This window comes from Homo sapiens, chromosome 7, assembly GCF_000001405.40.
Source record: "Homo sapiens chromosome 7, GRCh38.p14 Primary Assembly".
NCBI classification, from domain to species: domain Eukaryota; kingdom Metazoa; phylum Chordata; class Mammalia; order Primates; family Hominidae; genus Homo; species Homo sapiens.
Window position 1 is genome coordinate 7545137 of NC_000007.14, and position 21308 is coordinate 7566444.

The 21308-nt window shown below is 39.4% G+C and overlaps 1 long non-coding RNA gene across 1 annotated transcript, besides 2 other annotated features; it reads right to left on the bottom strand.

Annotated features, from left to right (window-relative positions):
- Positions 1-4967: 4967 nt before the first annotated feature.
- On the bottom strand, positions 4968-20929 carry MIOS-DT (MIOS divergent transcript). Its single transcript, NR_110084.1, has 5 exons — positions 20778-20929; positions 19101-19188; positions 10020-10053; positions 7023-7786; positions 4968-6340 (listed from the first exon to the last, which is right to left on the bottom strand). It is a non-coding gene; the product is annotated as an MIOS divergent transcript (long non-coding RNA).
- Positions 11672-12173: an enhancer, noted in NCBI's record as "H3K4me1 hESC enhancer chr7:7596439-7596940 (GRCh37/hg19 assembly coordinates)". NCBI's record gives its function as "activates a minimal SCP1, AML or CMV promoter by ChIP-STARR-seq in primed H9 embryonic stem cells {active_cell/tissue: H9 hESC(primed)}" and the evidence as "EXISTENCE:reporter gene assay evidence [ECO:0000049][PMID:30033119]".
- Positions 12174-12673: an enhancer, noted in NCBI's record as "H3K4me1 hESC enhancer chr7:7596941-7597440 (GRCh37/hg19 assembly coordinates)". NCBI's record gives its function as "activates a minimal SCP1, AML or CMV promoter by ChIP-STARR-seq in primed H9 embryonic stem cells {active_cell/tissue: H9 hESC(primed)}" and the evidence as "EXISTENCE:reporter gene assay evidence [ECO:0000049][PMID:30033119]".
- Positions 20930-21308: the final 379 nt, after the last annotated feature.

A 21308-nucleotide genomic window follows, 5' to 3' on the forward strand; every position in this document is an offset into this window, starting at 1 on the left:
AATTTTAGACCAATATCCTTGATGAACATTGATGCAAAAATCCTCAATAAAATACTGGCAAAACGAATCCAGCAGCACATCAAAAAGCTTATCCACCATGATCAAGTGGGCTTCATCTCTGGGATGCAAGGCTGGTTCAATATACGCAAATCAATAAATGTAATCCAGCATATAAACAGAACCAAAGACAAAAACCACATGATTATCTCAATAGATGCAGAAAAAGCCTTTGACAAAATTCAACAACACTTCATGCTAAAAACTCTCAATAAATTAGGTATTGATGGGACGTATTTCAAAGTAATAAGAGCTATCTATGACAAACCCACAGCCAATATCATACTGAATGGGCAAAAACTGGAAGCATTCCCTTTGAAAACTGGCACAAGACAGGGATGCCCTCTCTCACCACTCCTATTCAACATAGTGTTGGAAGTTCTGGCCAGGGCAATTAGGCAGGAGAAGGAAATAAAGGGTATTCAATTAGGAAAGGAGGAAGTCAAATTGTCCCTGTTTGCAGACGACATGATTGTGTATCTAGAAAACCCCATTGTCTCAGCCCAAAATCTCCTTAAGCTGATAAGCAACTTCAGCAAAGTCTCAGGATACAAAATCAATGTACAAAAATCACAAGCATTCTTATACACCAACAACAGACAAACAGAGAGCCAAATCATGAGTGAACTCCCATTCACAATTGCTTCAAAGAGAATAAAATACCTAGGAATCCAGCTTACAAGGGACGTGAAGGACCTCTTCAAGGAGAACTACAAACCACTGCTCAAGGAAATAAAAGAAGATACAAACAAATGGAAGAACATTCCATGCTCATGGGTAGGAAGAATCAATATCGTGAAAATGGCCATACTGCCCAAGGTAATTTACAGATTCAATGCCATCCCCATCAAGCTACCAATGCCTTTCTTCACAGAACTGGAAAAAACTACTTTAAAGTTCATATGGAACCAAAAAAGAGCCTGCATCGCCAAGTCAATCCTAAGCCAAAAGAACAAAGCTGGAGGCATCACACTACCTGACTTCAAACTATACTACAAGGCTACAGTAACCAAAACAGCATGGTACTGGTACCAAAACAGAGATATAGATCAATGGAACAGAACAGAGCCCTCAGAAATAATGCCGCATATCTACAACTATCTGATCTTTAACAAACCTGAGAAAAACAAGCAATGGGGAAAGGATTCCCTATTTAATAAATGGTGCTGGGAAAACTGGCTAGCCGTATGTAGAAAGCTGAAACTGGATCCCTTCCTTACACCTTATACAAAAATCAATTCAAGATGGATTAAAGACTTAAATGTTAGACCTAAAACCATAAAAACCCTAGAAGAAAACCTAGGCATTACCATTCAGGACATAGGCATGGGCAAGGACTTCATGTCTAAAACACCAAAAGCAATGGCAACAAAAGCCAAAATTGACAAATGGAATCTAATTAAACTAAAGAGCTTCTGCACAGCAAAAGAAACTACCATCAGAGTGAACAGGCAACCTACAAAATGGGAGAAAATTTTCACAACCTACTCATCTGACAAAGGGCTAATATCCAGAATCTACAATGAACTCAAACAGATTTACAAGAAAAAAACAAACAACCCCATCAAAAAGTGGGCAAAGGACATGAACAGACACTTCTCAAAAGAAGACATTTATGCAGCCAAAAAACACATGAAAAAATGCTCACCATCACTGGCCATCAGAGAAATGCAAATCAAAACCACAATGAGATACCATCTCACACCAGTTAGAATGGCGATCATTAAAAAGTCAGGAAACAACAGGTGTTGGAGAGGATGTGGAGAAATAGGAACACTTTTACACTGTTGGTGGGACTGTAAACTAGTTCAACCATTGTGGAAGTCAGTGTGGCGATTCCTCAGGGATCTAGAACTAGAAATACCATTTGACCCAGCCATCCCATTACTGGGTATATACCCAAAGAACTCTAAATCATGCTGCTATAAAGACACCTGCACACGTATGTTTATTGCGGCATTATTCACAATAGCAAAGACTTGGAACCAACCCAAATGCCCAACAATGATAGACTGGATTAAGCAAATGTGGCACATATACACCATGGAATACTATGCAGCCATAAAAAATGATGAGTTCATGTCCTTTGTAGGGACATGGATGAAATTGGAAAGCAACATTCTCAGTAAACTATCGCAAGAACAAAAAACCAAACACCGCATATTCTCACTCATAGGTGGGAATTGAACAAGGAGATCACATGGACACAGGAAGGGGAATATCACACTCTGGGGACTGTGGTGGGGTGGGGGGAGGGGGGAGGGATAGCATTGGGAGACATACCTAATGCTAGATGACGAGTTAGTGGGTGCAGCGCACCAGCATGGCACATGTACACATATGTAACTAAGCTGCACAATGTGCACATGTACCCTAAAACTTAAAGTATAATAAAAAAAAAAAAAGAAAAGGTGGGCAGCAAAGTCAAAAAAAAAAAAAGACAAACTACACTAGAACAGGTTCATAATATATAGGATCAGTATCCAGAATATATAAGAAAAAGAAAAAAATAGGATATGAAATGGCAGTTTTTTAGAAGGGAAATAAGAATGTCTAACAATCATATGAAAAAATATTTACTCTCATTAGTATTCATGAAAATGCAAACTAAAAGCACTGAGATATCATATGTTTCTCATTAGATTGACAAGTTTAAAGAGTGTAATAAAGGGTTAGCAAGGATGCTGGGAAATGGGACATGTGGTGGGAGGGTGATTTGGTAAAACTGCATTACAGAGCAACTGGGCAATATTTGTTAAAAATAACAAAGTGTATTTTTTTCGCTTCCAGGAATATACCCTGGAGAAATTCTAGCACATTTGTTCAAAAGACATAGACAAGAATGTTTATTCTAATAAAATGTTAGAAACAACCTAAATGTTGATCAGTAGGTTGGATAAATAATTTGGGACGTAACAACATTTATTTATTCAACAAATATATCTTGTAATCTTTATATATCCTTAAAATACAATTTTAAATAGAAAAGAAAGCTATGTAATGATATAAAAATATGATATATTTTCTATAACATTTTAAAACATACAAAATGTTAGCTATTTTACAGATACATCTGTAAAATAGATACGTCTATATGTTGTAAATCTATAACAAACTTTGATAGTAGAAAACTCACCAGTTTTCTGACAGTGGTTGTCACTGGAGAGAGAAAGGGGAATAGGACTGGGACTGGATACAAAGGGGACTTCAACTCTATTTCTAATGATCTGAGAAGAATTTTTTTAAAACCCTGAAACATTTAAATTCTGGGTGGTGGGTATACAGATTTTTGTCATATTACCCTTAATATACATGTTTTTAAATTTTCACAATAAAAAGTACTTTGAAAACCCTTCAACTCTTCAACCTATTAAGCAATAGCTAAAACAGAGTTGATACCATGCCAGTTACACAGATTTACCATTTTGGACTCTACTCCTTAGGCCACCAGATCTCATTAATTCTTATTTTCAGCATTTCTCATGGATACTTTAATTTTCCACCAGATCGCCGCTTCACTAACTAGAATCCTTAGCCCCTGCAAAATACTCACTCTCCAAATAGCCCTAGAAATCCCAAGTAGACATCGTATATGTACTCATAAACAAATCATCAGTTACCATTTGACATCATCCATTTCTTTCTGTCCTGTACTTGAAGCTCATTCTATCTCTAGACTTATAGAAAATGGGGCAAATTTCTACTTTTTAATGCTTCTTAACTGGCATGCAGCCCACAAAGATCATTCCTTGCTCTGAATTCTTCCAGCGTTATTTATGGTACCATTCATCTAACAATACTTATTGTGTTTTGTACTGAGAAGTGAATATTTTATGTTATATAATAATACTTAAATAATATATATTTTATTAAAGGCAGGAATTTTTTAAAAAATTCTACTTCTTTTATAGTACCCGTAGCAATGTATGCAGTCATTCATCAGCAATGGTTGTAAAATGAACAACTATTTTAAATATTGTAGCACTGTGTGATTGTCTTCTAAATAACTTTATCTTTCCAAGATTTTGATGACTTAAACTCGCAAAATTCCTCAAAGTATGTCATGGGAACCCTATGCCTCTGCCTTCATTTTTTCATGATACTTCTGTTAGTGTGTAATTTTAGGCATCTCTATATCCCTTAATTCACTGCTACCCATAGGAGGAGGAGTTAGGTGTATCTCATACTTAGTATAAGTATGTCACATGCAACATGTGGAACATACTTACACTGAGAAAAAAACTAATTGCTTATCTGAAACTTAATTTAACTTGGCAGCCTATAATTTTTGTGTATGCTAAATCTAGCAACCCTAACACTGACCCATCTCAGTGTTATGATGGGGGGAGATAGTCTAACATGCATTGATCTAACATCCATTCGTTGATTTTTCTTGAACTAGTGGAGTTAGTATGTTAAAAGTCCTATGCATTGTGATTTCCTCTTTTCCTCTTTTACTATTCAGAATCCAAGGATGGAAGGCAGCGAGTGACACCCTTTGCAACTGTAATACCCCGATGAGAAACTCCAAATCTAGACATGGGTACAGGTACTTAGAAGCTTGGTTTGAGTTGCAGGTCCAAGGCACATTCAGCTTTATGGAAAACTATGCTGATATTTTGATCCCTATGTTTCTGACCGCTATGTGTATTTCTCAATTAACTCCAAACCCAGAAGAATGTTGAGAATAATTATCAGTGTTAACCCCCATCTCCCTGTGGATATATGTGGATATAGTTAAAAGTGACTACATTTTATTTCATTCTTTACATACTCTCCAATCCCTAACCTCTACCTTGTCAAATACATCCAAAGTAAAGAAAAAATTAGGTCAAAAGGAATAATTTTCAGTAACTAAGATTTTAAAGAGCTTGTAGGAACACGAATGTTAATTTCAGCCACAAGAAAACTTCATGGAGTCAGTGCTTTTATTAGAACGAATAATCTTAGCCAATTTGATTTAATCATCAGTGTAGATCTTACTTGTATCCAATAATGTCAAGGCCACTGCTGATACATCAGCATTCTTTATAAGCTATTAAATGGGAGTCTTATTTCCTAGACATTTATATTAAACTTATAAGAAAGGAAAACTCTTAGGCAATAAGACATGTATTTAACAAATACAATTTAGCATTTGTAAACATTAATATAAGGAATCATTTCTAAGTAACCACAGAATGCCTTAGAACTTCAGTCAGACAGATAGAATTTAAATGTGTTTGGAGACAAAGTGGAAATGTCAAAGTTTACTAAATTACTAATTTACTCTAAAACTCATGCACCCAAAAAACTAACTTTATTTTCTAAATATGAACTTAGCTTGTTCCAGATAAAACAAAACAAAAACCTTAAGCTGATCACAGGAGATGATTGTCTTCCTAAATAAAATAGTCTCGTCCAATTAAATTCAGTGTCTTGTGGCTCTTCAATATAGATTCAATAGTTACACTTATTGCATACTTCCAAAGATGCAGTATAACAGACATGTATTTCCTTGGCTGATGTTAAAAAAACAAATATAGATTGAAACTTTAACTTTTAAACCATTAAATAAATAATTACCAAGATGCTGGTAATAATTAATGAAAACTAAGCTGCTTTCTGGAAAGAAGCTTATTTTTGAATCCACTGTATAAACATTCATCACATAGTAATGTTGTTAATAGTCTGAGCACTTGCTTAATTGACACACTATGTGCAAATACTTCTCATGATACATGGTATCATTCCTTTTCCTACCCCAGATTAGAAAAGCGCCTCTTCCTCAAATCTCTCGCTACCTGATAACTGTCAGAATAGGTAGGATGCAATTGACCCTCCATGGAGACGTTTAATGTACAAACTGAAGAAGTATAGGCCTCAGCCCTGTGTAACATCTCACTGTTTATGCAGTTAACATACTTGTGTAGAGTTGAAAAATTATTTTTATTTTTCAGTTTGTATTATATTTATTAAAGTTTAAAATTTTAGTTTAATAAAGTGGCTTGCTCATCCTGATTACAGTTGAATGTTACCATTCTGTCGAGTAGAAGTCCACAGGATGCATCATAAAACAACTTTATTATTCCCCCACCACTCTTCCTATTGGGGAAGTGGGGCAGGATTTTCCTTGCAACATGGATGAAATCACAGGTAGTGGTCATGAATCTTCGGGTTGGTCTTTGATAAAAAAAATTGCTTCTTTCAAATTTAGTTATAAAAACTCTCTCGTTCCAATAATTTAAATGTTTATCACAGGTAGTAGCCAATATTCTGAGCTTGAAGTTTCTTCTCTGGAATACTGCAGTAGGAAAGCGGACATAGTCAACTTTTCCATTTCCCCACTTTGTGCCTCTCTGCCTTCCCCAAACTCATGAATTGCAGTTTCAGGCCCTTCCAGGTAGAAGACAGGAAAGATCTGCTTAGCTGGTCACTGCCACGCTTTGATTTTGGAAGGTATTCAGGTGATCTCTTTCTCACTGCAGAGCTCTTATGCATTCTTTGGAGACTCTGCTTCACCAGGGATTTCTCATCTGAAGTTCTCTTAATGCTGGCCTTAATGCAAGATCTCTTCTCCAGCAGGTATCAAATACAATCTTTACCTCACACCATCTTGTTCCCAACAGAATACCTCCAACATCTCTCTGCTATGGTCACCTCAGTCCTGGCAGATAGTTCTACAGATTTCTTTAAGCTGACTCTCTTGCCCTTGTAGTCTACATCCCATCCTCAGGGCAAGACTCATATCCTCTATCCTGACAAACTGAGAGTGAAGGTTGTTCCCCACAGGTGCACCTCTCACCTCTTGGCCATTAGAACCAGCCAGCCCCAGTACCTGAGTTTTAAGGCATGGGTCCCAAAGCAGCCCACCCTGTTCCCTACCTACCTCCCTCTTCCAAGATGCACGGATCAAGCTCTCTGTGTGGAACAGCACCTGCCCTTCACCCCCAGATATCTCATAGGGGATTAGGAGTGAGACTCACAGAAAATGAATTTCTCCGAAGAAATCACTTCCAGACTCTTCTGTTCTTTTATATCTCAGAAAGGATTGGGTTTTCAGGTTGCAAAATCTTTTCCAGCTCTGCATAGGTAGGTAGCATCTCACTGAGGAATGGAGTATTTACCACCTATTGTTCTGTTCCAGTCTAGTAGAGCTTTAGCAAAAACTACAGGCAACAAATTCTATTTTTAACATCCTGTTACACAAACAAATATGCTGAGTATGCACACAAATAAATGGTGAAAGAGGCACAAAGAAGTGAAAACAATCGTGCATGGTAGGAATATTTGAATTGTATTACATGTCCTTTAATATTGTTTTAACAGTAATATTTTTACATTTTCAATTGGAATGAAAGCATGTATGTGTTTGAATAATTTTTCATCGTGCACTCATTTTTTTGATTCCACAACTAATGAGAGAAACAGTGATGATTGTAAAATGTATCCCACCCTTAAGGAATTCACAGTAGAATTCCTTGTAGTTCCTGTAGAACTACAATAATATAATGTAATATAATAGGTAATAGTATTATAATACTCTGTGTGTGTGTGTGTGTGTGTGTGTGTGTGTGTAAAGAGATGGGGACTAAGGCAGGTACAGCAAAGTGCTAAGGAGTCCAGATGGGGATAGATGCTACTTCTACTTCTAGCTGCAGGAGACTTCAAGGAGGGGCTGGAGGGATGTATCTTGAGGGATGGATAGCATTTGATTTTTCTAAGTCTTGGAGAAGAGCATTCTGGGGGCCTGGGGGGAAGGAACAAAAGCACGTTATAAGGAAAGTGCTATGGAAAAGTAATTGGGAACAATTCAGTGGGACAGCTCTAGTATGAATTAAGAAATCAAGTGGGAAAAAATATGTTGGGCCACAGTAGGTAGGGACAACCTCATGTTGATAACCCTTTAAAAAAATTCCAGATGTTTTTATCCATGTTACATGGAGAGAAATATTCACCATTACATGTAATTTACTAATCTTTAAATAATTATCATATACTTACCTCATTTATACAACACATTTAACATCTATTAATTTAGTAAATGAGATTTCTCTTAAGCACTGTTGCAAACTGAATCCCTCTTCTCAAGTTTAAAGTAGGAGACTCTTGGAAATATTTTTCAAAGAGAGGACAAAATATGCCAATAGAACAATGATTATAAAACTGAATAGTATAAAAGTCATTAAAAGGCTAAAACTTTGGAAGTAAATTTGTGTCCACATCATGCCTGTCCTGATTCTAATTCTGGTTCTCTTTATGCTTCTGGGTTTTTTCCCTCTTTCATTGCTTCCTTGGGTTATGATTATACTTAGCCAAGAAAGTCAGGCTTAGCTTCTCAAATGAGCTGCTAATGTTCCAGGATTTAGAGCATGTGAGTCAACTCTGTTATCCATCTGAAGGTTTTCCAGTTACACATTGTAAGGTACAATGTGTACCTTACAGATGTAAGGTACATCTGAAATAGTCCAAATTACTGACTCAGGCCAATCACATATGCTTTGATTTTTCTGTGACCTAATCTTTTTCTCAAAATGACCCTGGTCCTCAATGCGTTGTCTTCATAGTCTAATAAACATCTACCTCCCAGTTCTTGTTCTGAAAATCTTTTTCTTATTTTACTACCAACAGAAAACTGTTTATATAACTGCTTTGGGTCTAATTATAAAGTTAATCTGATTCATTGAAAATACAACTTTTTTTCTCATCTCTCAACCATTATGACTTGCAACACGGACATTTAAGTCAAGTCTGAGGAGTCTGGATGTTGGTCTATAGGGAATGTTAACCAATGAAAGGCTCTAAGTAAAGGGTCGCTTCAGGTATGCTTCAGAGTAATCAATCTGGCCTCACAGAGGAAAAGGATTAGAGTAAATGAGCAGGAACCAGGGAGCCAGAGGCCAACTGGGGAGACTACCGTCTGGCTGAGGAGTAATTAAGACCTAAAGCAGGGCAATAGCTGTGGGAGCAGAGACATTGGCAGAATGTAGCCACATCATCTGTTTCAAAATCCCAAATGTGATTTACTCAAGTCTTGTTCAATGAGGGGTAGAGATCAGGCAGTAAAATGACTGTGGTTTTACTGGTACTAACGATGCCAATTTGAGAACAATTTTGATAGCTGCTACTTTAGTGACTCAGTGCCCGTTAGAAGAAACGCGCCAAATTACTAACAAAAAAAGCAATGAGCAAGGCAGGAAATGTTTGGATTGCCCATGTTGCAGTTGTCATGCTAAAACTGCTCCAGTTAATAAGGCATCTGATATGCTGCTTGAATCTTATTTGTACCTTAACTTTGTGGATATAGGATTATGATGTGTCTATTATGGAATTTAGCATCCTGATCCCTCCAATTATACTCTTAAAATAACATTCATTTTTTTCTTATTAAAAACATTTTTATATTGTAACGCATATAACAATTACATTCAAATTTAGAAAACACAGAAAAGTATAATGAAGAAAATAATGATCACTTTTAAACCTACCACACAGAGAAATCTGTTAAAACTTACCCTTTTAAAATAAGGCTAGGATCAGTATAATTATTTCATCCAGTAATATTTCATTCCTGTAACAGTAAACCGTAGTGCTTTCTCAATCTTTAAATAATTTCCTAAAACGGGTCAACAAGCTAATCCAGCCTGCCACCTGTTTCTGTAAATAAAGTTTTGTTGGCACAGAGCCATGGCTATTTGTTTATGTACTATCTATGGCTGCCTTTGCACTACAAGAGCAAAATCGAATAGTTGTGACAAAGGCAGCACAGCCTGAGGAGCTGGAAATATTTACTATCTGGCTCTTTACAAACAGTTTGCTAACTCCTGCTTTAAAAGATTATTTTAATGACAGCATATAATTAGATCAAAAGGCAGTTCCCTTGGAGAGTGCACGAGCCAGTGGTTAGAAGCACAATGCTGGCGCCAGATTGTCTGGGTTTGTATCCTAGCGCAACCATTTAAGAAATGTATGAGCTTGCCTACCTTATTTCACCTCTCTGTGCCTCAGTTTTCTCATCTGCAAAATAGGAAAAATAAAAGTGTTATCCTCATAAAGTTGTGATGAAGATGTTGTGAGCCCTGTGATGCGCCTCCAGATTTTCCTTTGGTCATTAGTGACTTCTTCCTTCAGCTGTGGGAAGTGCTGCCAGTAGACAGCCCTCAGCTGTCAGCTTTCTTTGGGGACTGCCTTACCCGAGGAAATTGCCTCACTCAAAATCATGCCTCCTCCAAGGGACAGTTCACATTCAATGACACATCCACATAAATGGAATAGTATAAAGGCCTGTGTCCCAGCCCCCAACTCAGGACAACTCTGAAGGACCAGTCCAACTCCAGAGTTACCCATGGGCTGGCAGAGGCCTTTTTTGGCATTGCATAGCTGCTCAATCTCCCCCTCTGCCTAATCTCCCTTCTTCCTCCTCCCATCCTTAGGTGCTGATCCCAACAATACTCCCTAATGAATATGCTACATCCTAGTCTCCATTTTAGAATCTGGTTCCCAGGAAACCTAACCTGAGATAGTATGTTAAATGAGTCTATATTTAAAATCTCTGACACATAGTAGATGCTATATATTTATATAATTTTTTCTTAAATAAACAAATAATCCAGTGGGAAAGAGTGAAATGGAAATACAAGTTCAAGGAGAAAAAAATAGAACAATGTAAAATTTCCTACAATTGAAGAATAACTTAATCATAAAGTTTTTGTTAAAAAAATTAATTATATAGATCAAGCAGTGGTTATTGGTTGAGACAATCCACATTGACAACTTTGAAATATTCCAGTGTTAATATTTATTTATTTTTAAAAATCTTTTTTAAAAAGGTGTACTTTTCTTTTAAATAGTATGTGTATCTATTTGTGGGATACATGAAATCTTTTGATACAGGCATGCAACATGAAATAATCCAATGCTAATCTTTAAATACAGGGGACAAACATCAATCAGATTCTCATAACATGTTCAGAGTCTACATAAACTGAATTCTGGACCTAGTTCAATACACAAGGGAAAGAGAATGACAGTGTAATTACCAATAATTAAACCAAAGGCATAATTTTCCAAATCACTTTTAGTAAGTGAATAAATTCTGACATTTTAAAAGTCTAAAGCTACATAAAATTCAAAGCAATCAAACTATTTTTCTACCTGAAATTTTTTTTGAATTTCTGGAGGGAGGGCAAGATGGCTGACTGGACACAGCCAGGTGGAACAGCTGCCACCAAGGAACCAAGATGACTGGGGCATGTCTAACAGATCTTCAGAGGGAAGTCACCTAGAGTGGATGGAGGGAAGACACAGAACCTGGGCTGAAGGGGGAAGAAGCTGGGAACCCTGCATGAGGCTACCACACACTGAGACTCGTTCCTGGCCCCAGTGACACCAGGGGAACAGGTGAATTGAACTGGCAAGGAGCAACCCGTTCTTGCCATGGGCCTCTGGAATCCCAGCAGGAGGAGACCCCCTTGACCAGCACAGACACTTGAGTTAGCAGGAAAGGCTGCTTAGAGAAGTGGTAGCGGCAGCACATCAGCTGAGGCAGAGCCTAGACGGTTTGGTGCAGGAGCATCTTTAGTGGAGCACAGCCAGGGAAGCCCATCTCCCTAGACTCAACTTGCTCCCATAAGAGACTTTAGCCCTAGGGAAACTGTAAGATCTGAACTCTGCAAGGTGATCTTGCCCTTCAAATGGGGCCAGTTCAACCTGAGCACCTCTTGGTCTGCTGGCCTCTCCCAGGGCCCCAGCCTCCCCACACCTGGTTGCAGAGCAGCCTCAGGTGCCCTGGGGGCCCACTTCACAGCTCCTGTACTGGCAGATCATGCCTGGCTGGCAGACAGCTCCAGAGGGGTGGCCCCCATGGCCATGCACCAGCCTGCCTGCTCCCTTTCTACACTGCAGTTTCTCCCAGGCTCACAGCAAGCCCCCACATTGCTTTCCCAGAGCACATGTGCATGCGCAGGTTTTGCCTTCCTTACCCACCAGTGCAGTGTGTGCAAGCTCCCTGCCCTGCTACTGCTGCAGTGAGAATGCACTCCACCCCACCTCCCCACCACCACCACCACCATTGCAGTTGGAGCCTTGGCAGGCATAGAGCCAGCCAGCCAGCCCTACTCCCACCAGTGCCCTGCCCTTGTGCCAACACTGCCCTGGGAGTGAAACTAGGCAGAGAAAACAGTGGATCCTCCCCTGCCCTGAGGGACCACCCTAGCCTGCAGCACACAGAGAATACACACAGACCTGTGCCCACCAGCACCCCACCCCCATGCTAACACCACCACCAGCCTGACTGCACAGTTGCCAGCAGCGACCCCCCGACCCCCACCCAGCGGTGCTGCCTCTGCCGCTGTGATGAATGCCCACATGGAGGCAGGCATCCCAGCACCTGTACCCTGCTGCAGCAAACAAGCATATACCTCACTATGCTTCCACTGCCACTGCTGCTGTCATGTGTGAACGAGGATGGATCCCAGTGTTACTGCACTACAAAATGCTTTGGCTAACACCACCCATTAGTGTAGTGAACAGCAATCCGAACCACCTCAGCTCCCCACCCCAACCCCCCATACAGTGGATTCCTAACCTCAAGGATCCAGACAACAAGATCAGGGCCCGATACAAGTCCCCCAGAGAGAGAACACACAGTCCAAGAGTTGAGAGCTTCAGCATTGGCCCCTTAAAATCTTCCAAAAACAAAGCCAGTTGACTGAATCCATCTTATACCACAACCAAACCCTCAAGGTCATCATACTAGATGAAAGAAAGAAAAAAACACCCAAAGGTCAGCAACCTCACAGATTGAAGAAACATCAACCCACAGAGATGAGAAAGAACCAACCCAAGAACTCTGACAACTCAAAAAACCACAGTGCCTTCTTTCCTCCAAATGACCACACCACCTCTCCAGCAAGGGTTCTGAACAAGGCTGAGATGGCTGAAATGACAGAAACAGAATTCAGAATATGGATAGGAACGAATACTAGCCTTGAATGTAAATGGCCTCAGTTCCCCAATTAAAAGGCAAAGTGGCAAGTTGGGTAAAGAAACATGATCTATTGGTATGCTGTCTTCAAGAGACCCATCTCACATGCAATGATACCCATAGGCTCAAAATTAAGAAATGGAGAAAAATCTACCAAGCAAATGGAAAACAGAAAAAAATCAGGGGTTGCAATCTCAATTTCAGACAAAACAGACTTTAAACTAACAAGGATCAAAAAAGATAAAGAAGGGGATTACATAATGGTAAAGGGTTCAATTCAACAAGAAGACCTAACTATGCTAAATATATATGCACCCAATATACAAGCACCCAGATTCATAAAGCAAGTCCATAGAGACCTTCAAAGAGATTTATACTCCCACACAATAATAATGGGAGACTTCAACATCCCACTGACTGTATTAGACAGAGCATTGAGGCAGAAAATTAACAGATATTCAGGACCTGAACTCACCAATAGATCAAATGGACCTGATGGACATCTACAGACCTCTGCATCCAAAAGCAACAGAATATATATTCTTCTCATCACCACATGGTGCATACTCTAAAATTGACCACATAATTGGACACAAAACTCTCCTCAGCAAATGCAAAAGAACTGAAATCATAACAACCACTCTCTTGGACCACAGTGCAATCAAATTAGAAATAAAGACTAAGATATTTGCTCAAAACCATACAGTTACATGGAAATTGAATAACCTACTCCTGAATGACTTTTGGGTAAATAATAAAATTAAGGCAGAAATCAAGAAGTTCTTTGAAACTAGTGAGAAGAAAGATACAATGTACCAGAATCTCTGGGACACAGCTAAGGCAGTGTTAAGAGGAAAATTTATAGCACTAAATGCCTGCATAAAAAAGTTAGAAAGATCTCAATTTAATAGCCTAACATCTACAACTAAAAGAACTAGAGAACCAAGACCAAACTGACCCCAAAGCTAACAGAAGACAAGAAATAACCAAAATCAAAGATGAACTAAAGGAGATTGAGACACAAAAAAACATTCAAAAGATCAATGAATCCAGGAGTTTGGTTTTTAAAAAAATTAACAGAATATACTACTAGCTAGACTAATAAAAATAAAAGAGAGAAGATCCAAATAAACACAATCAGAAACAATAAAAGGGGCATTACCATTGACTCCACAGAAATACAAATAACCGTCAGAGAATATTATGAACACCTCTATGTACATAAACTAGAAAATCTAAAAGAAACATAAATTCCTGGACACGTACAACCTCCCAAGACTGAGCCAGGAAGAAATTGAATCCCTGAATAGACCAATAACAAGCTCGGAAATGGAATCAGTGGCTGACTACCAATTAAAAAAATAAAAAAATAAAAGCCCAGGACCAGACAGACTCATAGATGAATTCTACCAGAGCTGGTACAATTCCTACTTGAAACTATTAAAAAACACTGAGGCAGAGGAACTCCTCTCTAACTCATTCCATGAGGCTAGCATCATCCTGATATCAAACCCTCATAGAGACACAACAAAAAAAGAAAACTTCAGGTCAATATCCTTGATGAACCTTGATGCAAAAATCCTCAACAAAATACTGGCAAACCAAATCCAGAAGAACATTGAAAAGCTTATCTACCATGATAAAATAGGTTTTATCTCTGCAATGCAAGGTTGGTTCAACATACGCAAATCAATAAATGTGATTTGTCTCATAAATGGAACTAAAGACAAAAACCACATGATTATCTCAATGGATGCAGAAAAGGCTTTCATTAAAATTCAACACTGCTTCATGTTAAAAAACTCTCAATAAACTAGGTATGGAAGGAACATACTTCAAAATAATAAGAGCCATCTATGACAAACCCACAGCCAACATGATACCGAATGGGCAAAAGCTGGAAGCACTCCCCTTGAAAATCAGCACAAGACAAGATGCCCTCCATCACCACTCCTATCCAACATAGTATTGCAAGTCCTAGCTACAGCAATCAGGCAAGAGAAAGAAAGAAAGGGCATCCAAATAGGAAGAGAAGTCAAATTATCCCTGTTTACAGATGACTTGATTCTATATGTAGAAAACCCCATAGTCTTTACACAAAAGTTCCTTCAGCTTATAAATGACTTCAGTAAAGTCTCAGGATACAGAATCAATGTACAAAAATCAATAGCATTTCTATACACCAACAACAGTCAAGCCAAGAGCCAAATCACAAACACAATCTCATTCACAATTACCAAAAAAAAAAGAATAAAATATCTTTCCTAGGAGAACTACAAAACACTGCTCAAAGAAATCAGAGATGACACAAACAAATGAAAAAAATGTTCCTTGCTCATGGATAGGAAGAATCAATATTGTTAAAATGACCATACTGCCCAAAGCAATTTAGAGATTCAATGTTATTACTATCAAACTACCAATGACATTCTTCCCAGAACTAGAAAAAAACTATTTTAAAATTCATATGGAACCAAAAAAGAGCCTGAATAGCCAAAGCACTCCTGAGCAACAAGAGCAAAGCTGAAGGCAGCATGCTACCTGACTTCAAACTATACTACAGGGCTACAGTAACCAAAACAGAAAGGTATGGGTACAAAAACAGACACATTGACAAATGGAACAGAACAGACAGCCCAAAAATATAGCTGCATACTTACAACCATCTGATCTTCAACAAAGCTGACAAAAATAAGCAATGGGGAAGGGACTCCCTATTCAATAAATGGTGCTGAGATAACTGGCTAGCTATATGCAGAAGATTGAAACTGGACCCCTTCCTTATATCATATACAAAAATTAACTCAAGGTGGATTAAAGACTTAAATGTAAAACCCAAAACCCCTGGAAGACAACCTAGGCAATACTATTCTGGACATAGGAATAGACAAAGATTTCATGACAAAGACACCAAACACAACTGCAATGAAAGCAAACATTGACAAATGAGACCTAATTCAACTAAAGAGCTTCTGTGCAGCAAAAGAAACTATCAACATAATAAACAGACAACCTGCAGAATGGGAGAAAATTTTGCAAACTATGCAACTGACGGAAGTCTAATATCCAGCGTCTATAAGGAACTTAAACAAATTTACAAGCAAAAAACAAAAACCCTATTAAAAAGTGGGCAAAGGACATAAACAGACACTTTTCCAGAGAAGACATACATGTGGCCAACAAGTATATGAAAAAAAAAAGCTCAACATTACTGATCATTAGAGAAATGCAAATCAAAACCACAACGAGGTACCATCTCACCCCAGTCAGAATGACTATTACTGAAAAGTCAAAAAATAACAGATGCTGGCAAGGTTGCAGAGAAAAAAGAATGCTTATACACTGTTAGTGAGAATATAATTTAGTTCACCCATGGTGGAAAACAGTGTGGCGACTCCTCAAAGACCTAAAAACAGAACTATCATTTGACCCAGCAATCCCATTACTGGGTATATACCCAAAAGAATATAAATCATTCTATTATAAAGACACATGCACATGTCTGTTTGTCGTGGCACTATTCACAATAACAAAGACATGGAATCAACCTAAGTGGCCATCAATGGTAGACTGGTTAAAAGAAATGTGGTAAATATACACCATGGAATACTATGCAGCCGTAAAAAAGAATGAGATCATGTCCCCTGCAGGAACATGGATGGACCTGGAGGCCATTATCCTTAGCAAACTAATGCAGGAACAAAAAACCAAATATCGCATGTTCTCATTTATAAGCGGAAGCTAAAAGATGAGAACACATGGACGCATAGAGGGAAACAACAGACATTAGGGCCTACCAGGGGTGGAGGGTGAGACAAGGGAGAGAATCAGGGAAAATAACAGGTACTAGGCTTAATCCCTGAGTAACTAAATAATCTATATAACAAACCCCCATAACATGAGTTTACCTATATGGCAAACCTGCACATGTACCCCTAAACTTAAAATAAAAACTTAAAAAATCTTCCTTGTCCTATTTAAACATAATTCTTGGTATTGAGGTAAATCTGAATTCACATGATATGCTTTGTCAAATTTTTCCAAAAACTTTTTTTTTTTTTTTTTTTTTTGGAGACAGAGTCTCACTCTGTTGCCCAGGCTGGAGTGCAGTGGCATAGTCTTGACTCACTGCAACCTCTGCCTCCCGCATTCAAGCGATTTTCCTGCCTCAGCCTCCCAAGTAGCTGGGACTACAAGTGCGCACCACCATGCCTTGCTAATTTTTGTATTTTTAATAGAGACGGGCTTTCACCATGTTGGCCAGACTAGTCCTGAACTTCTGACCTCAGGTGATCCACCTGCCTCGGCCTCTCAAAGTGCTGGGATTACAAGCATGAGCCACCACACCCAGCCCTGTTTTGCTTATAATTTAAAGATTTAAAAAATATTACAAATCATATACTTGACAACTATGTAAATTTGTTTTGACAATGTTAGGTGTAATCCCAAAATGCATGAAGAAATGCATTGATTTAAAAAATTTATTTGGGGATATTCTAGAAAAGTTTTTGAAGGCCATTATTTTAAGATATCTCTGATCTTCTGATCTTCAACCTATGTGAAAAGATTACCTAAGCCATGGCACATGTTTACAGGGCTTCATTTCAGCTTGATACCTGCCCAGCCTCCATCTAAAAGCAAAACTTGCTCTCAGGTACAGACTGATTTTGTGCATGTGGAAATAAAAAGAATTGGGATTAGCCAGTCACAGACTTCACAAAATGTTCCAGTACTGTAGTAACTGAATTGCTGCCAGGAGCAGCTGTAAATAAGAAAGAAATTCGCTGTCCTTCAACTGCAATCCTTCTGGTTTTAAAACCACAACAAAAATCCTCTCCTGGATCACCACAACATAAATGAAGAATCTTAAAAAGAACATCCTGGCCAAGCGCAGTGGCTCATGCCTGTAATCCCAGCACTTTGGGAGGATGAGGCAGGCAGATCACTTGAGGTCAGGAGTTCGAGACCAGCCTGGCCAACATGGTGAAATCCCATCTCTACTGAAAATATAAAAATTAGCCAGGCATGGTGGCGCATGCCTGTAATCCCAGCTACTCAGGAGGCTGAGGCAGGAGAATCACTTGAACCTGGGAGGCAGTGATTGTGGTGAGTTGAGACTACACCACAGCACTCCAGCCTGGGCGACAGAGCGAGGCTCCATCTCAAAAAAACAACAATAAAAAAATCCTATTAGGAATACAAAAGCTTAAATTAAAAACAAACAAAATACCGAGACTGAACTACAGTGGCCCTAGGATCTATTGTAAAACGCATGTTTAGTAAAGGCAACTAGTGTAATCTCAGACCAGTCTGTCAAGTTCTCTGCTACGGTTTACTGTTTCCAAAGATACAAAGCACTCACTCAACTCAGTAAATATTTTTTGGATACCTATGCAACAGGTGCTAAGGGAAATCCAAAGTTCCATGCTAAAAGATTGCTACCTGCAAGGATCTTGGTTTAGTAGAGAAGGGGAATCAGTTTCCAAAAAGACTGAGAAAGGTGTCACTTATTCCTGTGAGGGGCTTTAGAAGAATTAGTGGCAATATGAAAAAATATATACTTTCACAAAGCTTGAGTGGAAAAGAAAGTTGAAAAAGGGACATTAGCTGGAGGAGGATGTAGAATAAATACGTTGTTTTAGGATTTATTCAATACATTTTTATTTACCACATTTATTAGGTACTGTTTTACATCCTGGTGATTAAGCAGAGAATAAAATAGACAGAGCCCCTCTGTTTTAATTAGGGAATTGGCTAAGCTGCTCTACCAGGTCCAAACAAACAATGATTTTTTAAAGAACAAAGTTTATTTTCTCTTGCATAATGGTCCAGAAGTCTGTGGTTGATCCAAGGGAGGAGGTGCCCCAGCTCCCTGAGATTAGTTTGGGACTTAGGCTAGTGAGAACAGCTTTGCCTTCCTTAATACATGGCTTCCATTTCCAGTCTGTATTTCTTTTTGCCATTTGCCAGACAGCAAGAAGAGGGAAGAGAAAGTGTATAGCAAGCAGCTTTCCTTTTAAGGGACATGATCCAGTTCTACTCACATCTTACAGGACATAACTTTTTGATATAGCCTTACCTTGCTGAAAGGGAGGCCAAGGAATGTCATGTCTAAGTAGGTCACCAAGTGCCCTGCTCAAATTTGAATGTAGAGTTATTTCCTCTTACTAAAAAGAAAAAAAATACAGAATGAAAACTGGAGATAAGGAGAAGACACAGTCTAGAAGATAACTATAGGAAAGTAAAGAGATGGCGACGTATGTGAAGTTGTGGTGTCATAAAGACAACAACAAAGGAGCTAATTTATAGGTAGTCAGTGACAAGTGAGCAGTCTTGAGTAAAGGGAGAGTATGAGTCATGTAGATTTCTGCATTCCAGACAGAGGGAATAGCTAGTGAAGAAGCCCTGAGGCAAGAGCATGCTTGTCATGTTTAAGGAACAGTGAAGTCACAGGGATAAAAGACAAACCAGAAGAAAGTGATGATATGCAACAAAGTGAATGAGACATGTCAAGAGAGGAAGTAGTCAAGAACAACAGAAGTTGCAAGAGTGAAGCTTTGGCCATTGAAACTGGCAGCATGGAGCTCACAGGTGACCTTGACAAGTGGCAGTTTCGTGGCATGGTGGGCATGAAGGACTGAATGGAGTGAATTCAAGGGAGAGAGGGGGAAGTGGAATTACAGAGAGCAAATATGATCCTCTCCTTTGAAGAGAAAATGGGAATAACTTGAGTATGTGTTGAAAGTAAAGAACCAGTAGAAATGGAGAGGCAAAGATACATGGAAGTGAAGTAATTGATGGTGCAAGGTCCCAGAAGAGGAGATATACATGGGGTTCCTCCTCTTACTCTTTGTCACCTAAAAGAAGGTAAGAATGGTAGTGAATCAAGATGTTGGAGGAGGGAAGGAGGAAGCAGTGGGAGGTTGTGCAAATTCTAGCTAATAGTTTTAATTTTCTTTTCTGAAGTAGGAGGCAGTGTCATCTCCTGAGTGCAAGCAGAAAAGTTGTCCTCAACTATGTATAGTAGGAGTGGATAAGGAAGAGATTTGTATTGATCTGAGGTTTTGTGTGGGGGTTTGAGGCCAGGGTCAAAACCACTGAGAAGATTGGCAAGATAGTGTTTGAAGTGATGAATACTGTCATGTCTCCTCTCAGTAATACAGCACTTTCTTCAGCCTACATTCTTCTAATGGCAGGATTGGAAAGGCAATACTTTCCCCAAACTCATCATCTTATCAAAACCATCTGCCACCAAGATCATCAGGACTAAGCTCATTATGCTGTTTACAGCCATCACCACCACAAGCCCAAGACCACCCACTTTTAATCATGAACAGACAAGCAAAGACTGTCAGACATCTGAAGACTGCCTCGAGGTCAGACTCGTGACACCTGAGGCAGCACCATTCACTCAGTTTTGGGAACAAAAAACTTGGAATCCTCTTTCACCGTCATTCACTTGGTCAGTCACCAAGCTCTGTTCATCCCGCCTTCTAAGTATTCCCCAGGGCCCCCACTTCTCTCCATGCCCACTCTCCGTGCCACTGGTAACCTGCGTTTCTATCATCCCTCATTCTGATACTCTATCCCTCCAGCTCTCTGCGCAAAAACTGATCATACTGGCCGGGCACAGTGGCTCATGCCTGTAATCCCAGCACTTTGGGAGACCGAGGTGGGCGCATCACGAGGTCAAGAAATGAGACCACCCTCGCCAACATGGTGAAACCCCATCTCTCCTAAAAATACAAAAAATTACCTGGGCGTGGTGGCGCGCGCCTGTAGTCCCAGCTACTCGAGGTGCTGAGGCAGGAGAATCGCTTGAACCCGGGAGGCGGAGGTTGCAGTGAGGAGAGATCGCGCCATTGCATTCCAGCCTGGCGATATAGCCAGACTCCGTCTCAAAAAAAACAAAACAAAACAAAAAACTGATCATACCACTTGCCTGATTAAAAACTTTCGATGACTCTAACATTGCCTTTAGGTAAATGCCATCCAAACTCACTAAACTGGTTTCCAACCCGTTTCTGAAAGCACCTTAATCTCTCCCCACTTCCTCTGCTCATTCATCCATACCTACTGCCTCCTCACTGCTATGTCCTCTCTCCTGACCCGGCACTTGCTCTTTCCCAGTCCTAGAAGGCTCTTCTCTTCCAGTTCCCACTGCCCTTTTCCCTTTCCTGGCTAATCCCATACTCATCCTTCTTGTCTCAACCTAGTGGTCCTTAAGGAAGCTTTGCTGACCCCCGACACCGAGCGGGCGTCCCTCCTGTGTAGCACTGTGTTAGCC